At 48.3% G+C, this 24,424-nt stretch overlaps 1 long non-coding RNA gene across 1 annotated transcript, besides 3 other annotated features; it reads right to left on the reverse strand.

The window, feature by feature from the left end:
- Positions 1-1,215: 1,215 nt before the first annotated feature.
- LOC105370686 (uncharacterized) lies at positions 1,216-24,284 on the reverse strand. Its single transcript, XR_944246.2, has 3 exons — positions 24,109-24,284; positions 6,847-7,046; positions 1,216-1,719 (listed from the first exon to the last, which is right to left on the reverse strand). It is a non-coding gene; the product is annotated as an uncharacterized LOC105370686 (long non-coding RNA).
- Positions 8,988-9,488: an enhancer, noted in NCBI's record as "H3K4me1 hESC enhancer chr14:103768183-103768683 (GRCh37/hg19 assembly coordinates)". NCBI's record gives its function as "activates a minimal SCP1, AML or CMV promoter by ChIP-STARR-seq in primed H9 embryonic stem cells {active_cell/tissue: H9 hESC(primed)}" and the evidence as "EXISTENCE:reporter gene assay evidence [ECO:0000049][PMID:30033119]".
- Positions 18,017-18,993: an enhancer, noted in NCBI's record as "H3K27ac-H3K4me1 hESC enhancer chr14:103777212-103778188 (GRCh37/hg19 assembly coordinates)". NCBI's record gives its function as "activates a minimal SCP1, AML or CMV promoter by ChIP-STARR-seq in naive H9 embryonic stem cells {active_cell/tissue: H9 hESC(naive)}" and the evidence as "EXISTENCE:reporter gene assay evidence [ECO:0000049][PMID:30033119]".
- Positions 20,806-21,249: a transcriptional cis regulatory region, noted in NCBI's record as "candidate enhancer chr14.2493 targeted for multiplex CRISPR interference". NCBI's record gives its function as "positively regulates EIF5 gene expression in K562 cells {active_cell/tissue: K562}" and the evidence as "EXISTENCE:mutant phenotype evidence [ECO:0000015][PMID:30612741]".
- Positions 24,285-24,424: the final 140 nt, after the last annotated feature.

Here is a 24,424-nt window from a genome sequence, read left to right on the forward strand (position 1 = left end):
TCAATGGGGCTGCATCTGAGACTCAATCAGTGGAGGCCGCATCTGAGACTCTAATCAATGGAGGCCGCATCTGAGACTCAAAACGGTGTGGGAGTGCACGGCAAATCTGGCCTTTGGTGCCCTCTGGTGGGCATTGCATGCCCTGCTGACCAGTCTGAGGACAGAGATGAGGGAAAGAAATCAGGGTAGCGTGGGGCTGTCCAGGGTTTTCCCCACCGACATGGATGACAGGGTGACCCTGAAGAAGTCACTCTTTTCTCTTAGCCTTGGCTTCCTAATCTGCAAAGATGGTGACAGATACATTCCATTTCAAAAGGCTGCCAGGGTCTAGGCGCAGCTGCTCATGCCTGTAATATCAGGTGCACTTTGGGAGGCTGAGGGAGGAGGATCACTTGAGCCCAGGAGTTTAAGACCAGCCTGGGCAAGATAGTGAGACCCCCATCGCTACAAATAAAATAAAATAAAATAAAAATTAGCTGGGTGTGCTGGTGTGTGCTTGTGGACCCAGGTCCTCCGGAGGCTGAGGTGAGAGGATCACCTGGGCCAGGGAGGCCAAGGCTGCGGTGAACCATGATTGTGCCACCACACTCCAGCCTAGGTGGCAGAGTAAGACCCTATCTTTAAAACACAAACAAAAAACAAACAAACAAAACTGCCAGGGATGAGATAGTTCAGGCAAGACTGTGCAAGTCCACAGCCCTGGCAGTTCCTTCCTGTGTCTCCCAGACAGAGGGGCTGAGTTCCAGAAGAAGAGGGTTTCACCGTCCCGCGCCCTCCCCTCCATCCTGTGTCTGGCTGCCAGGGGATGTTCCTAAGCCCTTCAGGTTCCTGCTGGCCATAGGACAGTCCCCGAGTGCTCTGGCCTGGCTCTCGAGGACGGGGATGCCCTGCCTGTCCCTTCCCCAGCCTCAGCTGTGCTGACACCTTCCATCCCCACACACACCTATACTGTGACCACCTCCTGGCCTTTGCCCCTGCTGACCCCCTTGGTCACTCCCTCCCGCTGTCCCCTTGCCCTCTGACAAATTCCTATCTTCCTTGTAATCCCAGTGTGGGTGGGCATCTTCTCCTCTGAGAACCTTCCTGGATCCCACTGCTCACCCCCACCCCGCCCCGGCCTCCCCTCTCCCCGGCCCCACCCCGGGTCTTCCCTCTCCACAGCTCCGCCCCAGCCTGCAGTCCACTCGCGTCTTGTCATATGAGACCCTGGGTGTCTCACATCCGACACGGCTTTAATTTTTATCTTCCTTACATGTTGTTCTCCCTTGTTGAACTAGGAGATCCCCTGACCTTGGTTTTCTTCCAGGCCCCGGAGACGCCTGGCCTGTGTTGAGAAGGGTACAAGTGTGTTGAAACCTCTGTCCGACTGAGGCGGCACATCAGCAGAAAGGAGCCAGGGAGCCCAGGGACGCCTGCGGGCAGTCCCTCTGCCCTCCTACCCACACCTGCTTCTGGGCAGCCAGTGTTCATCTCTCGGAGGCCATGGGCCTGGGGACTGGGTTCAGGTGAGCCATGCTGCAGGTGCTCCCCACGCCTCGCAAAGCTGGCAGGAGAGGACTAGCAGCCTGCACTCCCGGTGCCCACCCCGGGTCCAGCTGGGCCAGAACTTTTTGTTCAGAAGAAAGCCAAGGCTGTTCTTTCCAGAATCCATGTTGAAGGGTTTCCTCTTCTCCCGGGACTGCAGCTCACAGGGACCTTCCTTCAGTTGTTTAATTTACTCTATAAGTTATAGCAAAAAGAACATTGATTCAAGACAATCCCCATCAGAGTCTCAGCTGGCTTCTTTGTAGGAATTAAGCTGATCTTAAAATTCATGTAGAAACTCAAGGAACCCAGACAGCCAAAAAAAAATCTTGAAAAAGAGCAAAGATTGGAGGATTCACACTTTCTGATTTCAAAATTTACTACAAAGCTACAGTAGTCAAACCTGTGTGTGCTTGTATAAAGACAGACATATAGACCCATACAATAGAACTGAGATTCCAGAAAGAAACTCACATTTAGGGGTCAGTTGATTTTGATGAGAGCCAAGGCACTCTCATCAAAATCAATTGACCCCCAAATGTGAGGGTGAAGTGGGGAAAGAACAGTCTTTTCTTCAGCTGGGAGAGCGGAGAGCCACCTGCAGAAGAACGAAGTTGGAGCTCTACTTCACATCATATACATAAAGTAAATGAAAATGTACAAGACCCTTTCAGTTTAAAGATTATAATCTCGAATCCACATTATAACTAACCTTTAATCCACATTTTAACCAATCTTTGATTATAACTCATCTTTTAAAGAATCTTTAAATAATCATGATAACTAATCTTTAAACATCTCCAGTTTTGGTGTGGTATCAAAGAAGGATAGTCACAACTATCTAAAGACTGTATTGAATTACTCATCCTTTTCCAACAGCATGTCTGTGAGCGGCTGAATATTCCCCACAAACTTCAACCAAAACAACGTATCACAACAGACTCATGCAGAAGCAGATATGAGAATCTACCTGTCTCCTATCAAGCCAGACCATAAAGATATTGACAAAAATGAAAACTAATGCCACCCTTATTGTTAACTTTGTTGTTGTGGTTTCAGAACATACTTATTTTTCATTTAAAAATAATGACTAATGTTAACATGTTATGGCTTTGTCATTCTTTTAAAATAAATATTATTTCTAAACAAATATTCTTTTTAAATAAAAATTTATTTTCAAATGTATCTATGTATACAGTCATGTGTTGCTTAACAACAGGGATACATTTTGAGAGGTGTCATTAGGCAATTTCGTGGCTGCGTGAACATCATGACAAAGACCTAGATGAGGCAGCCTACTACACACCTGTACAACGTGGGACTGTACTGAATACTGTAGGCAATTGTGACACAATGGTAAGTATTAATATTTGTGGATCTAGGCCAGGCATGGTGGCTCACGCCTGTAATCCCAGAACTTTGGGAGGCCGAGGCAGGTGGATCACCTGAGGTCAGGAGTTCAAGACCAGCCTGGCCAACATGGTGAAACCCCATCTCTACTAAAAATACAAAAATTAGCTGGGGATGGTGGTAGGTGCCTGTAGTCCCAGCTACTTGGGAGGCTGAGGCAGGAGAATCGCTTGAACCCAGGAGGTGGAGATTGCAGTGAGCTGAGATCATACCACTGCACTCCAGCCTGGGTGACAGGGCCAGACTCTGTCTCAAAAAAAAAAAAGTATTTGTGTATCTAAACAGATACAAACATAGACAAGGTACAGTAAAAGTATGGCATAAAAAGTAAAAAATGACACACAGGTTTAGGGCACTTACCATGAATGGAGCTTGCAGGACTGGAAGTGGCTCTGGGTGAGTCACAAGTGGGTGGTGAGTGAATGTGAAGGCCTAGGACATTACTGGCCACTACTGTAGACTTTGTAAACACTGACACTTAGGCCACACTAAGTTCATAAAAAATATTTTTCTTTCTTTGATAACAAATTAGCCTTAACTTACTGTAATGGTTTAACTTTATATACCTTTTACTTTTTAAAAAACATTTGGACTCTTGTAATAACACTTAGCTTAAAACACACATTGTACACCTGTATAAAAATATTTTCTTTCCTTTTTTTTTTTTTTTTTAATTTTTGAGACAGAGTTTCTGTCTTGTTGCCCAGGCTGAAGTGCAATGGCGTGATCTCGGCTCACTGCAACCTCTGCCTCCCGGGTTCAAGCGATTCTCCTGACTCAGCCACCCAAGTAGCTGGGATTACAGGCATGCACCACCACGCCCTGCTAATTTTGTATTTTTAGTAGAGATGGAGTTTCTCCCTGTTGGTCAGGTTGGTCTCGAACTCCTGACCTCGGGAGTTCTCCCGCCTCGGCCTCCCAAAGTGCTGGGATTACAGGTGTGAGCCACTGTGCCCAGCCATATATTTTTTCTTTATATCCTTATCCTATAAACTACATACTGTTTTCTGGGTTTTTTGTTTGTTTGTTTGTTTTTGAGATGGAGTCTCACTGTCGCCCAGGCCAGAATGCAGTGGTGCGATCTCGGCTCACTGAAACCTCCGCCTCCTGGGTTCAAGCAATTCTCCTGCCTCAGCCTCCCAAGTAGCTGGGATTACAGGCACGTGCAACCATGTCAGGCTAATTTTTTTTATTTTTAGTAGAGACAGGGCTTCACCATGTTGGCCAGGCTGGTCTCAAACCCCTGACCTCAGGTGATCCACCCGCCTTGGCCTCCGAAAGTGCTGGGATTACAGGCGTGAGCCCCCGTTACTCCCCGGGCGCTGTTAAGCGGCTTTGCGGCAGCCTCACACGTAGCCCTCACAACCACTAGGGACAGCGGCTTCTCACTGCTGGCTCCAACCCACAGTTAAGAAACACGTGGGTATTTACAATACATGCCCACAAATGCACAGGCAATCACATTTCCCCTGCACGCCCTGGCCCCTTCCCACACTTTCTCTTCCATTCTACTTAGGATTGCCAGATTGAGCAATACAAATACAGGACACCTGCTATTTGAATTTCAGGTAAATACTTTTTTTTTAGTGTGTTCCACCCCATAGAATATTTGGGACATACACACTTTAAAAAAGTTACTTATCTGAAATGCAGATATGACTGGGTATCCTGTAATTCACCTGGTAACCCTAGTTCTACTCCGTTTTTTTAAAACTGCTGGTTGTAACCCCCAACCCAATGTTACAGCCTTCAGTGAGTCCCAGCCCCCGCTTCCTTAGGCCAGGAGACCTGGAGTATCCCATTCCACAGGGGAAGCCACAGCTGGGAGGAATTCAGCCTCCTCCTTCCAAGGCCCACGGGTGAGCAGATTCGGATGAGCATCTCAAGGGCCTGCGGATGCCACAGGAAGAGGTTTAAAGATGTTTAAAGATGACTTCTGGCCGGGCGCAGTGGCTCACGCTTGTAATCCCAGCACTTTGGGAGGCTGAGGCGGGCGGATCACAAGGTCAAGAGATCGAGACCATCCTGGCTAATGCGGTGAAACCCCGTCTCTCCTAAAAATACAAAAAAAAAATTAGCCGGGCGTGGTTGTGGGTGCCTGTAGTCCCAGGTACTCGGGAGGCTGAGGCAGGAGAATGGCGTGAACCCGCCAGGCGGAGCTTGCAGTGAGCCGAGATCACGGCACTGCACTCCAGCCTGGGCGACAGAGCAAGACTCTGTCTCAAAAAAAAAAAAAAAAAAGACTTCTGCAGGCCGGGTGTGCTGGCTCACACCTATAATCCCAGCACCTCGGGAGGCTGAGGCGGGAGGATCACTTGGGGTCAGGAGTTTGAGACCACCTGGCCTACATGGTGAAACCCCGTCTCTACTGCAGAAATTAGCCAAGCATGGTGCTAGACACCTGTAGTCCCAGCTACTGAGGAGGCTGAGGCAGGAGAATCGCTTGAACCCAGGAGGCGGAGGCTGCAGTGAGCCAAAAAAAAACAGAAAGAAAGACTTCTGTGCACATAAATGACTAGTGGCAGTTACTTCGGTTTTAAAATATATATATTTAAGGTATTAAAGTTCTACACTTAAAAACCTAGTTTTTCCTTAAGTGTTGAAGATCAGCTTAAAAACCTGACCATGCTGTGGATAAATCCAGCCAGTTCTAACAACTGTTTACAGAGGGGCTTGTGGTTTACGTTCAGTCTCATTTACAAGCTGGTTTAAATGAGAACTCTTAAACCTTTTAAATTATATATTTAATTGCTTCAAATACTGCAATTGAATAACAAACAAAACATTCCCTAGGTCTTTGGTCCTTAAACATTGGCCACACTCCCTTTACTAAATTCCTTTTAGTTTCAAACTAAAATATCATAGGACTAAATTAAAATACTCAATTAGGCATTGCAAATCCATGTCCCTTTCTAGGTGGGTTTAGTTCCCTGTGGGTCAGAGTCACTGACTGGGAGCCAGGCCTGGAGCTAAGGACAGCCACCAGATGGCTTTTTCATGACAAAAAGGGACAAGTTTTATATTCTCCATAAAGCCAATAGGGGGCCAGGTGTGGTGGCTCAAGCCTCTAATCCCAGCACTTTGGGAGGCCAAGGCAGGAGGATCACTGGACCCCAGGAGTTCAAGACCAGCATGAGCAATGTAGCAAAACCCCATCTCTACCAAAAAAAAAAAATTAAAAATTAGCTGAGTGTGGTGGTGCACGCCTGTAGTCTCAGCTACTTGGGAGGCTACAGTGGGAGGATCGCTTGAGCCTGGAAGTTAGAGGCTGCAGTGAGCTGTGATCACACCACTGCACTCCAGCCTGGGTGACAGAGTGAGACTGTCTCAAGAAACAAAAAAAAAAAACCCTGTGTAAGGCTCCTCCACACAGTGAAGCCTTCCTGACATGCCCTGCCTGCCCCACAAAGGAATCCTTCCCTTCCCCACCAGACGGATTCTGGATCTTGTGCTCTGGACCCCTTTGCCAATGTAGTAAAAACTATAGAGCCCTTTTCAGGGTACCATTTATACAGCATAACATAAAATACATAAGGTTACAAATGAAACCAAATATATTGAAAATATTACCAAGTGTTTTTAAAACAGTAACTGGGTGATATAATGATCTTTACTGTTATTAGGCAGGTCTATGGCTGATCTAATAGCTGCTATGGGTTCAAATGGTGAGCCTCACTGACACTTCTAGATCTGCTACAACTGAAACGCAGCAGGACAATGTCTGTGATGGTAACAAACTCAGGGACCCTGCTAATACTACTCTGGTTTGTTGCCTATGTTCGTGATTAAAGAAAATGCTAGATTTCAGGTAGAAATTAGTGAGACTAAAGATACAAGTTTCCCCTGCACTCATGGAACCCCTGAATTCTGTCAACAGACCCCAGGACAGGAAGCTCTGCACCATTTCCATACCTTCTGTGAGCTCTGTTCTTCTCTGGATATTCCATCTCTCCCTGGACGATGGTGGGGGCGCTCTTGTTAAGAATGATGGCAGGACCGGACGTGGTGGCTCACTCCTGGAATCCCAGCAATTTTGGACATTGAGGCAGGCCCATCACTTGAAGTCAGGAATTCGAGACCAGCCTGGCCAACATGGTGAAACCCCGTCTCTACTAAAAATATAAAAATTAGCCAGGCTTGGTGGTAGGCAACTGTGGTGGCAGCTACTTGGGAGGCTGAGGCAGGAGAATCGTTTGAACCTGGGAGGCGGAGGTTGCACTGAGCCGAGATTGCACTGCACTCTAGCCTGGATGACAGAGTGAGATTCCATCTCAAAAAAAAAAAAAAAAAGAAAGAAAGAAAAAAAAGAAAGAAAGAATGATGGCAACCAGCGTTTGCAGAGGGCTTAGTATAGGCCAGGTACTACGAAAAGCCTTTCATATGCATTATTTTCTCCAGTCCTCCCAGCAACTATTAGCTTGGTGCAAAAGTAATTGTGGTTTTTGGCCAGGCACGGTGGCTCACACCTGTAATCCCACGACTTTGGGAGGCTGAGGCAGGCAGATTGCTTGAGGTCAGGAGTTCGAGACCAGCCTGGCCAACACAGTGAAACCCTGTCTCTACTAAAAATACAAAAATTAGCCGGGAGTGGTGGCGCATGTCTGTAATCCCAGCTACTGGGGAGGCTAAGGCAGGAGAATCGCTTCAACCCAGGATTGCGGTGAGCCGAGATCATGCCACTGCACTCCAGCCTGGGACACAGAGTGAGATCCTGTCTCAAAAAAAAAAAAAAAAAGCAAACAAAAAACAAAAGCAATTGCGTTTTTTGCCGTTGGAAGTAATGGCAAAAACAACGATTACTTTTGCACCAACCTAATAGTAGGCTTTGGATGCAGGTTAGTCTGACATTCCATTCTGCTGTTCGTCAACACCAAGCCAGTGTGTCCACATGCCTGCTTCTCCCATTAGACAGTAGCCCTTCAACAGCAGGGATGATCAGAGTCATCTTGGTGTGTGCAGCTAACACAGATGCCTGGCACAGAAGAGGCACTTGCTTTCCACCTGCTGGCTGGTCACGAAGACGATGCACACACATGCACAGACATGAGCACACAAGCACACACAGGAGTGGACCAGGCCGAGTGTGGGGGGACACACGCCTACCCTCTTTAGAGCCCAGCCATGCTGACCTCCAATCACACATCCTATTCACTCGCCTACTTCTGCTGCCACCTAACCAAACTTCCTGGCTTTCGGTATAAACAAATCCTTTCTAGAGAAATAAAGCATTCCTAGTTCACTTTTGAGAAAGGTGAGCCCCCTGGGGAACTGCAGTGCTGAGAAGTCTGGCGGGAAGGGCACATTCATGGGACTTGATGACAGGGAGGGACTGGCTGGATCTGCTTTGAGCACAGTCCAACCATCTTTATAGTTCATCACAACCAGCCTTTAAAATGCTTCGGGAACATCAGGATAGTGATCACCAGCAGGGCACCGAGCACAGGGCGTAAAGGGGGCTTCTGAGAGGGGGTGTGATGTTCTGTTTCCCGATGTGGGTGCCAGTTCCTCCAAAGTGGTCGGTGTATGAGTGGTCATGGGGCCACACTTAGGTACCTGCGGTTCTCTGTATGTATTTCATATTCCAATACAAAGCTCCAAAAATTGCTTCAGAAGTCAGTTAAGCTTCTCTTCCTCCAGATTCCAAACTCATATGCCAAAAGTTCATTTCTCTGCAGGCCAAAATGGAGCAGCCTTTTATAAACAGGCTTCCTAGAGTTTTGCCCCAAAATATTCCTGTATCCCAGCAGCAAGCACCCTGATGCCCACCCAGTGGTCTGTATCTGTGTCAACCAGCGGTTCTCAGCCTGGCCTCATCCAGGGCCTGAAGCCTACTACAGAACCCCCAGCAGCACGTGGGGTGCACAGCAAAGATCAGCCCTGGACACAGCCGGGTGCTCAGGGCGGGGTGAGGGGGCAGGAGGCAGGACGCAGGAGGTGAGCTGTCCGGGCGGGGCAGGATGAGGGAGTCCTGCATTGCAGAGCTAAGGGGGAGAATCATCAGCACCCTAATTAGCTCTTGATGGCTTCCAAAGCCTTTTAAGTCCTTTTTTTTTTTTTTTTTTTTTATCCCTACAAGAACTCTGAGTGGTAAACAGGACAAGTAACATAATTCCCAGGATACAGGTAAGGACACTAAAGCCCAACCCAAACTGGTGGGTAGCAAGGCCAGGCCCAAACCCAGAGCTCTGGGCTCTAAGCCAGCACCTACTCCCCAACACAGAAAGGAGGTGGGAGCAGCCGGGCCCTAGCCAACCACTCCCGGCCCCTTGGCAGATCAGGCAGAGTGAGGGCACAGGAGGGAGAGAAGACCTCTATGCAGACCAGTGCAGCCAGGCAGGGGTGAGGAGCCCCTGCCACCACCACCAAAGACAAAACTGAGCCTCGATCCAATGCAGACTCCAGGAAATATGGGGCAGGTCCATGACCTTGTGAGAAGGGAATCAGTCAAATCCAAAATGTGGGACATGTACGGGACAACTGACCCAGTTTCTTTAATGAGTCAATGGCATTAAACTAAGGAGGGGTGACAGTTCTAAATTAAAAGACACTTTCAAAGGACCTCAAGACGGCAGTGCATACCGTGAGCAGATCTTATTTAGATCCTGATTTAAGTAACTCAACTATAAAAAGACGTTTTTTTGAACAGAGCAATTTAATTTGGTACTTGGTACATTTAATGTGGCAGTTGGATATTCAATGATATTAATCTTCAATTTACCAGCAGGGTCCAGTGAGTTCTTTTTTTTTTTTTTTTTTTTTTTTTTGGAGACAGAGTTTCACTCTTGTTGCCCTGGCTGGAGCGCAGTGGCACAATCTTGGCTCACTGCAACCTCTGCCTCCCAGGTTCAAGTGATTCTCCTGCCTCAGCCTCCTGAGTAGCTGGGATTACAGGCATGCAACACCACACTCAGCTAATTTTTTTGTATTTTTAGTAGAAGTGGAGTTTCACCCTATTGGTCAGGCTGGTCTTGAACTCCTGACCTCAAGTGATCTGCCCGCCTCAGCCTCCCAAAGTGCTGGGATTATAGGCGTGAGCCACCACTCCTGGCCTATTTTTATTTTTTTAGTTTACTTTTTGAGTAGTTCTAGCACTGTATAAGGATTAATAGTTTGTGAATTTTATTCTGTCTTAGAGACCTTCTACAGAACAAAACCCATTCTGTCTTGCAATTCCTACAGGGATTGGTTCAAGCCTTTTGTAAATCTAAGATATATTTTGGAATCAGGAATCTTATTTTTCCTGTATCTTGAAATATTTTTCTATTTCATCATCCTGAGAATTATTTCATCATCACTCATTTAAGTATTTCCAGTTATGCTAAAAGAGACTAAAATAACAAAAAAATGAAAAGCTGATGCACTTGCCTAAAAAGCAGAATGAAATAAACCATCTCTGCCACAGTATCCTTCCGTTTTCTCACTACATTGCTAACAGTATTGCATCAACTTTCAAGAAGGTAGAAGATAATTCTGGAGATGACAGGCTTTCCTTTGTTTCACTCTTATTGAACAATACAATCAAGCATTCTGAATTTTTCATTTTTCACCCATAACAGCAAGGAGAAGAAAGTTGACTGAGGGAGACATTCATAATTATAGGCAATTAGAAGCGGGGGAAGGCCCAACACAGTGGCTCATGCCTGTAATTCCAGCACTTTGGGAGGCTGAGGTGGGCGGATCACTTGAGGCCAGGAGTTTGAGACCAGCCTGGCCAACATGGCCAAACCCATCTCTACTTAAAATACAAAAATGAGCCAGGCGTGATGGTGAATGCCTGTAATCCCAGCTACTTGGGAGGCTGAGGTGGGAGGATTGCTTGAACCTGGGAGGCAGAGGTTGTGGTGAGCTGAAATCACACCACTGCACTCCAGCCTAGGAGACACAGCAAGCCTCCATCTCAAAAAAAAAGAAAGAAAAGAAGAAGAAGAAGAAGAAGCAGCTAGGGGAAGGCCAAGCTCCATGGCTCAGGCCTGTAATCCAGCACTTTGGGAGGCTGGGGTGGGTGGGTTGCTTGAGCCTAGGAGTTCGAGACCAGCCTGGGCAACATGACAAAACCCCACCTCAAAAAAAAAAAAAAAAGAAAGAAAGGAAGGAAGAAAGGAAGGAAGGAAAAGAAAAATTGTCCAGGTGTGGTGGTGCATGCCTGTAGTCCCAGATACTCCAGAGGCTGAGGTGGGAGGATTGCCTGAGCCTGGGAGCTAGAGGCTACAGTGAGCTATGATCACACCACTGCACTCCAGCCTGGGTGACAGAGCAAGACCCTGTCTCTTTAAAAGAAAAAAATATATATATATATGGTAGAAGGGACAGACAGCCACTCTGTCCCATTAGCCAGAGGCTAATGATGATGGTGAAATCAATCAAATGGGATAAATTTCAGTGAGCATTCAGATGACCATATCCCAGACAAATTTTCTCAAATCCATATTTCTAATGACACAAAAAATTTGCATTCAATTAACAGGCAAGACTTCACTCAATATTTTGTAATAAGAACTTGGACCACTGCATTTTTTCTAAAAGGATGTATGATGGTATACTTTCACATTTTTTGATGTTTGTGAACAAAATGGGATACATTTCATAAGTGGACAAATGCCAAAAGCAGGTGTTTATACAAAGATACTGAGAGGAAATAGATAATGCAAAATTTTAAATTAATTGATCATTCTAATGGGTGTTTATAGATCAAAAAATGAAAATGTTTTGCAATCATGGAACAAAGAAAATGGCCACACTGTCTCCAACAAAATTGTAAGTGTCAACGATTTCAAAAAGTTCATCCAAATATCACATTTTGACAACATCAGTGCAAGAAGAAGGAAAAGTAATGTTAGCTTAGACACCCCTAGAAGTGCAGTTGAAACCTGGAATTAGCACTTTTAAGGTGGATGAGTTCCAGGCTCATGCAAGGCAGGTGATAAGTAGCCAGTTGCATTCAAAGGATGCTACCAATATACCTTCAAAATCACAAACATGGAATAAAAAGTTCAGTTTGCTATGTCTTCATTCTAAAATGTCTAATGAAGTTGTATTTCACCATCCCTTTATTCTTACTTCTGCAAATGACCAACAGGGACGCCTCAGAGATACTGCAGGTTCTGTTCCAGACCACTCAATAAAGCTAATACTACAAGAAAGTGAGTCACAGTTTCCCAGTGCATATAGAAGTTATGCTTACGTTATAGTATAGTCTATTTATAGTCTATTAAGTGTGCAATAGCATTGTGTCTAAAAAAACAAAGTACATACCTTAATTTAAATATTTTTATTTCTGGCTGGGTGCAGTGGCTCACACCTATAATCCCAGCATTTTGAGAGGCTGAGGCAGGAGGATCATTTGAGGCCAGGAGTTTGAGACCAGCCTGGCAACACAGAGAGATCACATCTTTATATATATATATATAATTGCTAAAAAACATGCAGACAATCACATGAACATTCAGTGAGTGGTAATCATCTTGCCGGTGGGGGTCTTGGCTCAATGTTGATGGCTGCTGACTGATCAGGGTGGTGGCTGCTGAAGGTTGGGGTGGCCATGGCAATTTCTTAAAATAAGACAGCAACGAAGTTGGCTGCATAAAGTGACTCTTCCTTTCATAAAAAAATTTCTCTGCAGCATACAATGCTGTTCGATAGCATTTTATCCACCGTAGAACTTCTTTGAAAATTGGAGTCCATTCTCTCATACCCTGCCACTGCTTTATCAACTGAATTTATGTAATATCCTAAATCCTGTGCAGTCATTTCAACAATGTTCACAGCATCATCACTAGGAGTAGTTTCCATCTAAAGAAACCACTCTCTTCGCTCATTCATAAGAAGCAACTCCTCATCTGTTCAAAGTTTTCTCATGAGATTATAGCAATTCAGTCACATCCTCAGGCGTCATTTCTAATTCCAGTTCTCTTGCTATTTCCACCACATCTACAGCTCTTTCCTCCACTGAAGTCTCAAACCCCTCAAAGTCATCCATGAGGTTGGAATCAACTTCTTCCAAACTTTTGTCAATGTTGGCTGGGCGCAGTGGCTCATGCCTATAATCCCAGCATTACAGGAGGCCGAGGTAGGTGGATCACTTGAGCTCAGGGGTTCGAGACCAGCCCAGCCAAAAAATACAGAAATACAAAAATTAGCCAGGTGTGATGATAGGCACCTGTAGCTACTCGGGATGCTGAGCTTGGAGAATCATTTGAGCCAGGGAGGAGGAGGTTGCAGTGAACTGAGATTGCGCTGTTGCACTCCAGCATAGGCAATGGGAATGAAACCCTGTCTCAAACAAAACAAACAAACAAACAAACAAAAAACCCAATCAAACTCTTGTCAATGTTTGTTGATATTTTGACTTCTTCCCATGAATCACAAATCTTCTTCATGGCATCTAGAATGGTGAATCCTTTCCAGAAGTTTTTCAGTTGACTTTGCCCAGATCCACCAGAGGAATCACTATCTATTGCCTTATGAAATGTATTTCTTAAATAACAAGACTTGAAAGTCAAAATCACTCTTTGCAGAGTGGACGTTGTGTGAGGAGGCATGAAAACAATATTAATCCCCTTGTACATCTCCATCAGAGCTTTTGGGTGACGAGGTGCATCGTCTATGAGCAGTAATATTTTGAAATAATTTTTTTTTTTTTCTGAGCAGTAGGTCTTACCAATGGACTTAAAATATTCAGAAAACCACACTGCAAACAGATGTGCTGTCATCCGGGCTTTATTGTTCTATTTATAGAGCAGAGGTAGAGTCAATTTAGCATATTCTTTTTGTTTGTTTGTTTATTTTGAGATGGAGTCTCACTCTGTCACCCAGTCTCGAGTGCAGTGGCACAATCTCAGCTCACTGCAACCTCCACCTCCCGGGTTCAAGCAATTCTTCTGCTTCTGCCTCCCCAGTAGCTGGAACTACAGGCACGTGCCACCACACCTGGCTAATTTTTTTTGTATTTTTAGTAGAGATGGGGTTTCACCATATTGGCCAGGCTGGTCTCAAACTCCTGACCTCATGATCCACCCACCTCAGCCTCCCAACGTGCTAGAATTACTGGCGTGAGCCACCACGACTGGACATTTTTTTGGAGGGGGGGTCGGGGGGCTATGGGGTCTTGCTCTGTTACCCAGGCTTTAATGCAGTGACACAATCTCAGGTCACTGCAGCCTCTGCCTCCCAGGTTCAAGAAATTCTCCCACCTCAGCCTCCCGAGTACCTGGGATTACAGGGGTGCACCATCATGCCTGGCTAATTTTTGCATTTTTAGTAGAGATGGGGCTTCGCTATGTTGGCCAGGCTGGTCTTGAACTCCTGATCTCAAGTGATCTGCCCACTTCGGCCTCCCAAAGTGCTGGGATTACAGGCGTGAGCCACCACGCCCGGCCAATTTAGCATATTCTTAAGTGTCCTAGGATTTTCTGAATGGTAAACAAGCACTGGCTTCCATGTAAAGTCACCAGCTGCATTAGCCACTAACAAGAGAGTCAGCCTGTGCTTTGAAGCTCTGAAGCCAGACATTGACTTCTCCTCTCTAGCTATGAAAGCCCTCTTTCTATGAACCAACCTCTGGTGGCTTTCAACTTTTCTTCTGCATCTCCCTCACCTCTCTCAGCCTTCACAGAATTGAAGAGAGTGAGGGCCATGCTCTGGATGAGGCTTTGGCTTAAGGGAATGTTGTGTTTGGTTTGATCTATCCAGACTCCAACTCCCTCCATAGCAGCAGTGAGGGTGTTTCACTTTCTCATCATCCATGTGTTCACCGGAGTAGCACATTTAAATTTCCTTCAAGAACTATTCCTTTGTGTTCACAACTTGGCTGTCTGTCGCAAGAGACCTAGCTTTTGGCCTATCTTGGCTTAAGGAGGCCTGAGGAGTTGGAGAGAGATGGGGGAGCGGCCGGTCTGAGGAGCACTCAGAACACACAACGTTTATCCATTAAGTTCACTATCTCAGAAGAACACGGTTTGTGGTCCCCCAAAACAGTGATGATGGTAACATCACAGATCATCGTAACAGATATAATTCTAATGAAAAAGTTGGAAATACTGTAAGAATTAGCAAAACGTGACAAGACAGACATGAAGTGAGCACATGTTGTTGGGGAAAAAATGATAGATTTGCTCACAGACCTTGAATTTGTTTAAACATTAAAACAATATCTGCAAGATGCAATTAAGTGAAATGCAATCAAATGAGGTTTGCCTGTATTTCTAAAATGACTTAAACGTTGAAAATGTAAAGGGTCCTTTGGACCCACAGAGCCAGTGGTGACGCTGAGGGGGAAGCAATTGCTGTCGATGCTGTAAGGTGTAACAGGGGCCCTTTAGTTACTTAAGAAAATGACCTTGGCCAGGCGTGGTGGCTCATGCCTGTAATCCTAGCACTTTGGGAGGCTGAGGCAGGAAGATCCCTGGAGTCCAGGAGTATGAGACCAGCTTGGGCAACATAGGGAGGCCCTGTCTCTTAAAAAGAAAGAGAGGAAAGAAGGAAGGAAGGAAGGAAAGGAGGGAGGGAGGGAGAGAGAGAGAGAAGGAAAGAAAGAAAGAAAGAAAGAGAGAGAGAGAGAGAAAGAAAGAAAGAAAGAAAGAAAGAAAGAAAGAAAGAAAGAAAGAAAGAAAGAAAGGGAAAATGACCTTCTTTGGGCTGGGCGTGGTGGCTCATGCCTGTAATCTCAGGACTTTGGAAGGCCGAGGTGGGAGGATTGTTTGACCTCAGGAGTTTGAAACCAGCCTGGGCAACATAGCAAAACCTTGTCTCTACTAATAATACAAAAATTAGCGAAGCACAGTGGCAAGTGCCTGTAGTCGCAGCTACACAAGAGGCTGAGGTGGAAGGATCACTTAAGACTGGGAGGTAGAGGCTGCAATGAGCCATGATCATGCCACCATGCTCCAGCCTCAGTGACAGAGTAAGATCCTCTCTTGAAAGAAAAAGAGAGAGAGAAAGAAAGAGGAAGGGAGGAAGGGAGGGAGGAAGGGAGGGAGGGAAGGAGGGAGGGAAGGAGGGAAGGAAGGAAGGAAGGAGAGAGAGAGAGAGAGAAAGAAAGAAAGAAGAAAGAGAGAGAAAGAAAGAAGAGAGAGAGAAAGAACAGAAAGAAAAGAGAAAGAAAGAAAGAAGAAAGAAAGAAAAAAGAAAGAAGAAAGAAAAAAGAGAGAAAGAGGAAGGGAGGGAGGAAGGGAAGGAAGGAAAGAAGGAAGGAAGGAAAGAAGGAAGGAAGGAAAGAAGGAAGGAAGGAAGGAAGGAAGGAAGGAAGGAAGGAAGGAAGGAAGGAGGGAAGGAAAATAAATGACCAGGATGCTTTGTTGAGATGCTGGGCAAAGCGAGGGTGGCTGGCAAGGCCGAGTGGTTGCCGTGAGTGCTGCTGTTTGCTCTGCTCCTGTGAATGTCGGACCTCTCCATAATACTTTTCTTCAGAAACGAGAACAGGAGAATGCTTCAGCAATGCAGCTGTCACTCTGCACAACTGGGAGTGCAAATGACATGCCCTAGTCAGGCCCTGGCATGGAACGTGTCCACCTCCACACTGGGAATAGCAGAAGCCCCACCGGCCGGTCTATCCTGGCTGCCCCAGAGCCTGAGACCCAGTCCTAGCCCAGCAGGTGGTCCAGAGGGAGAGGAGCTCAGGCCCCCAGGGAGGCTCCAAGGCGGGTCTTATCAACACCACTCAGTCAACCGGCCTTGAGAAGGTCAGTCTGAGGGTAGATGGAATCCCAGCTCCTGTCCATCAAGGCACAGGCCTTGATCTTAGGACAACTACTGGTGGGGGGCTGTTCCCTCCCCAGCACAGCAGCTGACAAATGGGGATCCCAGCAAAAACTGCCAGAATCCCTGAAGTTAAAGCTCCATCAGTGCCATGTTTTTGGGTACCTCCTTCCCCAGGCAATGGCAGCAGAAAAGTTTGTGAGAAACCAAGGCTGGCAGGTGCCCAAGAAGGCCAAGAGTGGATGCCATAGGAAGGCTGGGGAAGCCATGGAAGGCACTGCCTTCTCTGCCAGGCCACCACAGTGGTCCCCAGGGCCAGGCTTGATGACAGGCCCCTACATGCCCTTACCCAGCTCCAGCCAGGGTGCCGGGGGGTCAGGCAACCCATCCAGGCCGGTCTCCTTCACAGCTCTGCCCAGAGTCTCTCCAAGATGTGCAGCTGCTTTCTAAGCTGAAACGTCTCCTGGTCCAGTGGGGCCCACTAGCACAACCAGCTCGTCCTGGTTTTAGCAGCGAAAGCCCTGTGTGCTCATCCTGGGGCCTGCTTGCCCATCATTTAAATAACCAAGGAAGGCTGGGTGTGGTGGCTCACGCCTGTAATCCCAGCACTTTGGGAGGCCAAGGTGGGCGGGTCACTTGAGGTCAGGAGTTTGAGACCAGCCTGGGCAACATGGTGAAACCCCATCTCTACTAAAAATACAAAAATTAGCCTGGTGTGGTGCTGCACGCCTGTAATCCCAGCTATTTGGGAGGCTGAGGCACGAGAATCGCTTAAACCCAGGAGATAAAGGTTGCAGTGAGCCGAGATCACACCACTGCACTCCAGCCTGGGTGACAGAGTGAGACCCTGTCTCAAATAAATAAATAAATAGATAAATAGATAAATAAATAAATAAATAACCAAGGGAGGCTGACCCAAGCAATTCTTCCCAACATTCTTCTAGCCTTTCCTGATCACTCTTGAAAACTGCTGGAAAATTCTCTACCTTAAGAACGCTGGGAAAATCTATCTCCACACTCCCCCTGCCCCATACATACCCACATATGGATGGAGCCTCTCTGAAGGCTTCTCAAGCTTTTGACTGTGACCCCACTATAAGAAATAGGTTTACATTATTGCCCAGTGCGCACACACAAGTACACACACACATGCACACACTCAGGAGTCATAATAGTAAGTACTTAGAGACAATGATAACAGAGACAGGTTGGAGTCAAATAACCAACCCTTCTCACCAGGGACCCAGGAATAGATGCGGCAGCCCCTCGCCGCAGCCTCCGCCTGGGGACAGCTTTTCTGGGGGAAGGCCTCAGGGCAGAATGCAGCCTCCACCTTCCCAGGGCTCAGCTTGGGGGTCAGTGGGAAAAGTCAGAAAGCAAAGATGCAGGGCCAGCCTCTATTCCCCAATCAGGAAGAAACACCGAGAGGGAGAAGCCTCTGCCCGAGACAGGAGGCCCCGGCTGTTTTGTGGGCTGTGCCAGGAGCATCCGGTTTCCAGCCTTGGTTCCCAGGAGTGGTTTCTCCTCCCAGGGCCCCTCTGGCCTCATCTACAAAATAACCTGCAACACCGTGGCACCACTAAGCGCTGTCTTCAGATTCGGAGAGTTTACAAAGATCGTTCTCTCCCTCACTTATTCTACAAATCTTTGTTATGTTACCCAAAAACATCAGACACTGAGCCAAGCACTAGAGCTTAAAAAGACAAAGAAGTCACAGTCCCAGAGCCCACAGAGTCTCAGAGCCCAGCCCAGAGGCACGGGCTCCCCGACCCAACACGCTGCACACGGATCCATATGTGCGCCTGTGTGTTGGGGACGGGGGTGTGGGCAGGGCACAGAGCTGCTCATGGTGGCCAGGTCCCCTGTGCTACAAGTAAGGCAGCTCCTGCCATTGCCACCTCGTCCTCTAGAGAAGCCTTTCCACGAGCCACGCTGTGGTGTTGCCTTTTCCCCGGATGGTCCACGGAGGTTGCAATGCTCAATTAACACGCTCTGAGAATGGAAGTGACAGTGTAGCACAAAGCAGAGGTGACACGCGTGAGCTCACGGCCGGGTCCCCTCCAGCGTCCACCCCCCAAGAAGTCCCCCGCTGTCTGGGCCACCAGTTTCATTCAGCAAATACTATTCTATAAACAGCTGACCCAGATTCTCCGCTTGAATTAGGACGTTTCCCAGGCAGTTGAGGATGTACAGGGATGAATTTCAATGTTGCTTAAAAGCATTAAAGCTTGAAGGCACACTCAGGCCACTCTTCCATGGGGACAATGCTGCTGGCACCATCCGAAGGCCACAGCCCCCAGGCAGCCAGGACCCTCCCAGCGCCTCTCTCGCTCAGGGTTGACTCAAGGAACCTCTGCGGAAAGAGGCGTTTTAAACTTTAATTAACCTACGTTCTTCCCTACGCCTCGTGACCTGACTTTCCATCCTCTCTCCAAAGGGACCTGCAGCAGCAATACAGTCACATTCCATTTTAACCCCAACGCCCGTCAAACGTGGCTTGGCCCCCAGAGCAAAAGACAGGAGCATCAGCAAGTAGGGAGGAAGCGGGGACAGACGCACAGGCCAGGGCCACAATCCCCTTGACCCTCCATGCATCCTCACGGAGGCAAGGTGAGGGAGAGGTCCAGCTGTTCACGCTGGGGGAGTGTGGAGGCTGTGAGAATGCACCTCCCTCACCCCCCACAGCCCCAGGAAGTGTCATCGGCCCTGGTCCCAGGTGCTGGGCTCTGAAATCCATGTTCCCCCAGGCTGCTCCCAGCCAGTGGTCTGGCACGGCAAGGGTACCGAGGCAGGCCCATTCCCAGGGGACAGGAGATTTGCCAATGGCCCTGTGGGCCCTTTCCTCAGGGCCGGACCTGCAGCACAGATCCATAGCCCTCCCCAGCTCCTTCTAGGAGGGCCCAGGTTAACAAACAGACCAGCCACCGACACCACAGCTCATGCCGCCGCCATTCCTCACCCAGTGGTGGCACAGGCGTCCCAGCTGGCAGCCCCTGACACCCTGGCCCCCAGGCTCCATCCTCCATGCAGCGACCAGACCAACCCTTCGAAAACATGAATATGAGGCCAGGTGTGGTGTAATCCCAGCACTTTGGGAGGCCAAAGTGGGAGGAGAGCTTGAGCCCAGGAGTTTGAGATCAACCTAGGCAACCAGAGTGAGACCTTGTCGCAACAAAATAAAGTTTTTTTAAAAAAGTAAGTTAAATTAAATGATTACAAAGACTTGTGACCGAAAGGCTCACAGAGCACCAAAAAGAAGACCCACGCCCGCAGACTAAGAGGAAAAGAAAATCTAAACAGCCAAGACCAAGTGGAGAAATCTATGTCTGAAACAATACAGAAGTAAAAGACCAGAAGTTGTTAGTACAAGAGGAATCAGGGCATCCTGGGAGACCAAAGGATGCGGGCAGCTGGTGTGTCTGTGTCTGCTCAGGAGAGCACACAGAAGTTAATTCAGAAAACAGACAGCATTGAAAAGAAATACAGGGCCGGGCATGGTGGCTCACACCTGTAATCCCAGCACTTTGGGAGTCTGAGGCAGGCAGATCACGAGGTCAGGAGATGGTGCCCATCCTGGCCAGCATGGTGAAACCCCATCTCTACTAAAAATACAAAAATTAGCTGGGCGTGGTGCCGCATGCCTGTAATCCCAGCTACTCGGGAGGCCCAGCCAGGGGAATCGCTTGAACCCAGGAGTCGGAGGTTGCAGTGAGCTGAGATCATGCCACTGCACTCCAGCCTGGGCAACAGAGCAAGACTCTGTCTCAAAAAAAGAAAAAAGGCTGGGCGCAGTGGTTCACACCTGTAATCCCAGCACTTTGGGAGGCGGAGGCGGGTGGATCACGAGGTCAGGAGATCAAGACCATCTTGGCTAACATGGTGAAACCCCGTCTCTACTAAAAATACAAAAATAAAAAAATTAGCCAGGCGTGGTGGCGGGCGCCTGTAGTCCCAGCTACTCGGGAGGCTGAGGCAGGAGAATGGCGTGAACCCAGGAAGCGGAACTTGCAGTGAGCGGAGATCGCGCCACTGCACTCCAGCCTGGGTGACAGAGCAAGACTCCGTCTCAAAAAAAAAAAAAAAAAAAAAGAGAAGAGAAAAGAAATACAGAAAAAGTGGGACCAACTGATGTAACAGATTAAAATGGTAGAAACGGGTCTAAATAGATCAACAATTACAATGAAAGAAAGTGGACTAAATCTATCAGTCAAATGACAGACACAGATGCTGTGGATTTTTAAAAACATCATGACACACACAGTTTCCCAAAGACACACATAAAGCCTAAGGACACACAGAGGTGGAAACAAAAGGCGGAAGTGATGAAGCCGTGAATGCTTGCCAAGGGATGATATGATCAGCTGAAAGAGACTCTGAGACAAAGCTTCATTGGGGATAGAGATGGCCACTAAGTAAGATAAAAGGTTCGATTCACCCTGATGACAAAGCGATTTTAAACCTAAGTGCCCCTGACAGAGTGGCCTCGAAAACCATGACATGCACAGAGAAACAGGCGAGCACCGATCTTACTGGGGGGGGTCTCAACACATCCCTCAATATATTGATCGTTCAAATATCAACAGAAAAGCAGCAAGGGCTGAGATCTGAAACTCAGTCAACAACGTGCATATAGTGTTTTGCAGCCCAAGAAGAAAAAATGCTCACAGGGGCCATTTTCGGAAATCTGTCACGGACTACCCCTGGCCACAAGAAAGGGCTTCCGTGCCCTTCAAAGACCAGGTCTCCCCCAGACCATGAGCCTGGACCAAGCACACGAAGACAAGATGTTCCCAACAAAAGGGAGAGATTTTAAAAGAAGATCTCGCATGTTTGTTTTGGATAGCATAAAACACCACTAAGTCATTCACGGGTTAAAGAAAAATATCAGAGTGGAAATACCTATAACATAGTTGGAATTCTGGAAGGAAATTGGCAATGGCTAAGTTTTCTAGAATTGAGAAAAGAAAGATATTGGCATCCAGCTTCAGAGAGCCCAGCTCTTGCTCTCGGGAAATGAGGCAGAAACAAGACTCGGTACCAAACATGTGAGGCCAGGAAACAGAACAGCAAGTGGAACCTACAAGTGTGCCCTATAGGTCCTGAGAGTGAGAGCCCCCAGGTGGTGAGTGGGGCAGCTGGGCAGCCAGGGGTCAGACGTCTGTTTACACACAGACACACACGACAACACGCACACAAGGAACCGCCCCTCCTGCTCCGTTCTCTGGCATGCACGGCCTTGATATCTGTTTTTCAGGTTGACTGGAGATTGTTGGCCACATTTGCCAAGAAAAGATAAGCAATCCTCACCACGGGCTCACCCATGGTGCACAGAACTCCCAGCCCGGAGATCCAGCCACTTCTGAGAACAGAATCAACAGCCACTTAGAAGGCTCAGCCTAGGCTGGGCATAGTGGGTCATGCCTGTAATCCCAATACTTTGGGAGGCAGAGGATCACTTGAGCCCAGGAGTTCAAGACCAGCCTGGGCAACATGGTGAAAGCCCCTCTCTACAAAAAAAAAAAAAAAGCCAGGCATGATGGCCTGCACCTGTGGTCCCAGCTACTCGGGAGGGGGAGATGGGAGGATCGCTTGAGCCCAGGAGGTCAAGGCTGCAGTGAGCCGAGATCAAACTGAACCACTGCACTCCAGCCCGGGAAACAGGAAAATACCCTGCCTCAAAAAAAAAAAAAAAAAAAAAAAAGAAGAAGAAGAGAAGAAAAGAAAAAGAAAATGAAAATGAAAAAGGAAAAGAAGGCCCAGTCTAGGTGCAACTTAAGCCCACCAGCATCCTTCGAACCATAGCAGATCAAATTAAAACAAGCCATTGGCCCAATTCTAACTTTCTTATGGGCAAAATGGAAAAACGTCTGGCCTGAGAAGGAAATGCCATGTTACTCCTAGGGTGGGCTGATTAAGTCACTCTTCCCATCCGGGGCCAGAGCAGGATCCGTCAGGACTCAGCTTGTTGTGAAATGAGGCCTTTCCTGGAAATGCTGTTCATAGAACGCGACGAAGCAGCCGTGACATAAGAGCTTGGCATTTTGCTGTGTACAAATCCAGACCTTTCAACAGGATGTTGGGGTGGCCAGCCTGCTCTTTGGAAACACGGGGCTGGCAGAGGCTGCCCCTGCCCCTCGTCCTTGGCCCAGCACTATATTGTCTTTGTGTCATGGACAGAGACCAACACTTCTCCTACGTCCCCTCCTACTTGGAGTTAATCCCAGCCCAGCCAGTGCAGGGGAGACAGGTGTCGCCACAGAATCACAGTGGCTCCACTCTCTGCCCTCCTGAGCCTCTGGGCAGTCCCACACTGCCAGGTCATCTGCCCAGGAGCCTTCCCAGACCCCGGGCCCCCTCTCCTTCATCTGTATCCAGGCACGTGCCTCGTGACAGAAGCCTTCCCAGACCCCGGCCCCCTCTCCTTCATCTGCATCCAGGCATCAGCCTCGTGACATCTCTTTGGGTTTCAGGCTAATATTAAATACACTAATCATGGTGTGGAAAGAGTTTCTGGGTCAACAATAACCAAAGGCACACAGAGACAAGGATTCGAGGCAGGCACCGCGCTGTGTCCGTCTGTCCTCCACCTCTCCACCCCTGGGTACTTCAGGGGCCCCCTCACAGACTACGGGGTCCTAGGGGGCAGGACAGTGGCCAGTTTACCTGGGATTTCCCAGCAGGGCCTGGCCTGAGGCTGATGGCGCTCAGAGACTGTTCGGGATGAGCAAGCCGGTGCCTCCCTGTACCTCTACATCTGCTCAGCTCCCCGCCGCCAGCCTGACTGGGGCCTCCTTCCTTGGGCTGGCAGACTGCTGGCCTCCCCTAGTCCCCCCACGGGCCTGGCAAAGGGCAGCCTGCCCAGAGCACTGTCCCCAGGGCCACCACTCAGAGCCCTGGGGTGCTCACTTCCACCATGGTTTTTGCTTGTTTGTTTTGTTTCGTTTGAGACAGAGTCTCGCTCTGTCGCCCAGGCTGGGGTGCAATGGCACGATCTTGGCTCACTGCAACCTCCACCTCCCAGGTTCAAGCGATTCTCCTGCCTCAGCTTCCTGAGTAGCTGGGATTACAGGTACCCGCCTCCATGCCCAGATAATTTTTGTATTTTTAGTAGAGACAGGGTTTTGCCATGTTGGCCAGGCTGGTCTCAAACTCCTGACCTCAGGTGATCTGTTCATCTCAGCCTCCCAGAGTTCTGGGATGACAGGCGTGAGCCACCACGCCTGGCCCCACCATGGTTTAAAGTCTTCTTCTTCCCGTGCCACAGAGTCCTTGTGCCGCGAGGCCCAATCACTCCCCAACATCTGTACGTCGGACTTGGACACCCCACCTTCACGCCCACCCCAACTTCACGCCCAGCCACCTTCACGCCCCGCCTCTGCAGCCCCTGTCCCGCCTCTGGCACGCCTCCCACTCCAGGAGCCTTCACAAGCGCTGCTCCCTCTGCCTGGAAAGGCTTTCCTATTCTCCCATCCAAGTACTAACCAGGCCCGACCCTGCTGAGCTTCCGAGATCAGAGGAGATGGGGTGCGCTCAGGATAGTATGGCCATAGACAACCCTCCCCTATTCTGTTCATCTGGCCGCTTCCTGCTCAGCATTTGGGGCTTCATTTAACTGGCAGCTTCCTTAAGGAGGCCTTCCCTGACCCCCTTCCCTTCCCATTCACCCCGGCCCACAATGCACATTGATTCCCTGAACTCAGGGTACTCCTGAAGTACCAATCATCACGTTGCATCATAATTGTTGGTTTCCTTGGAGGCACAGGGTCAGGCTCCGCATGGGCAGGAGAAGTCTTCAGGG

Source organism: Homo sapiens, chromosome 14 (assembly GCF_000001405.40).
Source record: "Homo sapiens chromosome 14, GRCh38.p14 Primary Assembly".
NCBI lineage: Eukaryota > Metazoa > Chordata > Mammalia > Primates > Hominidae > Homo > Homo sapiens.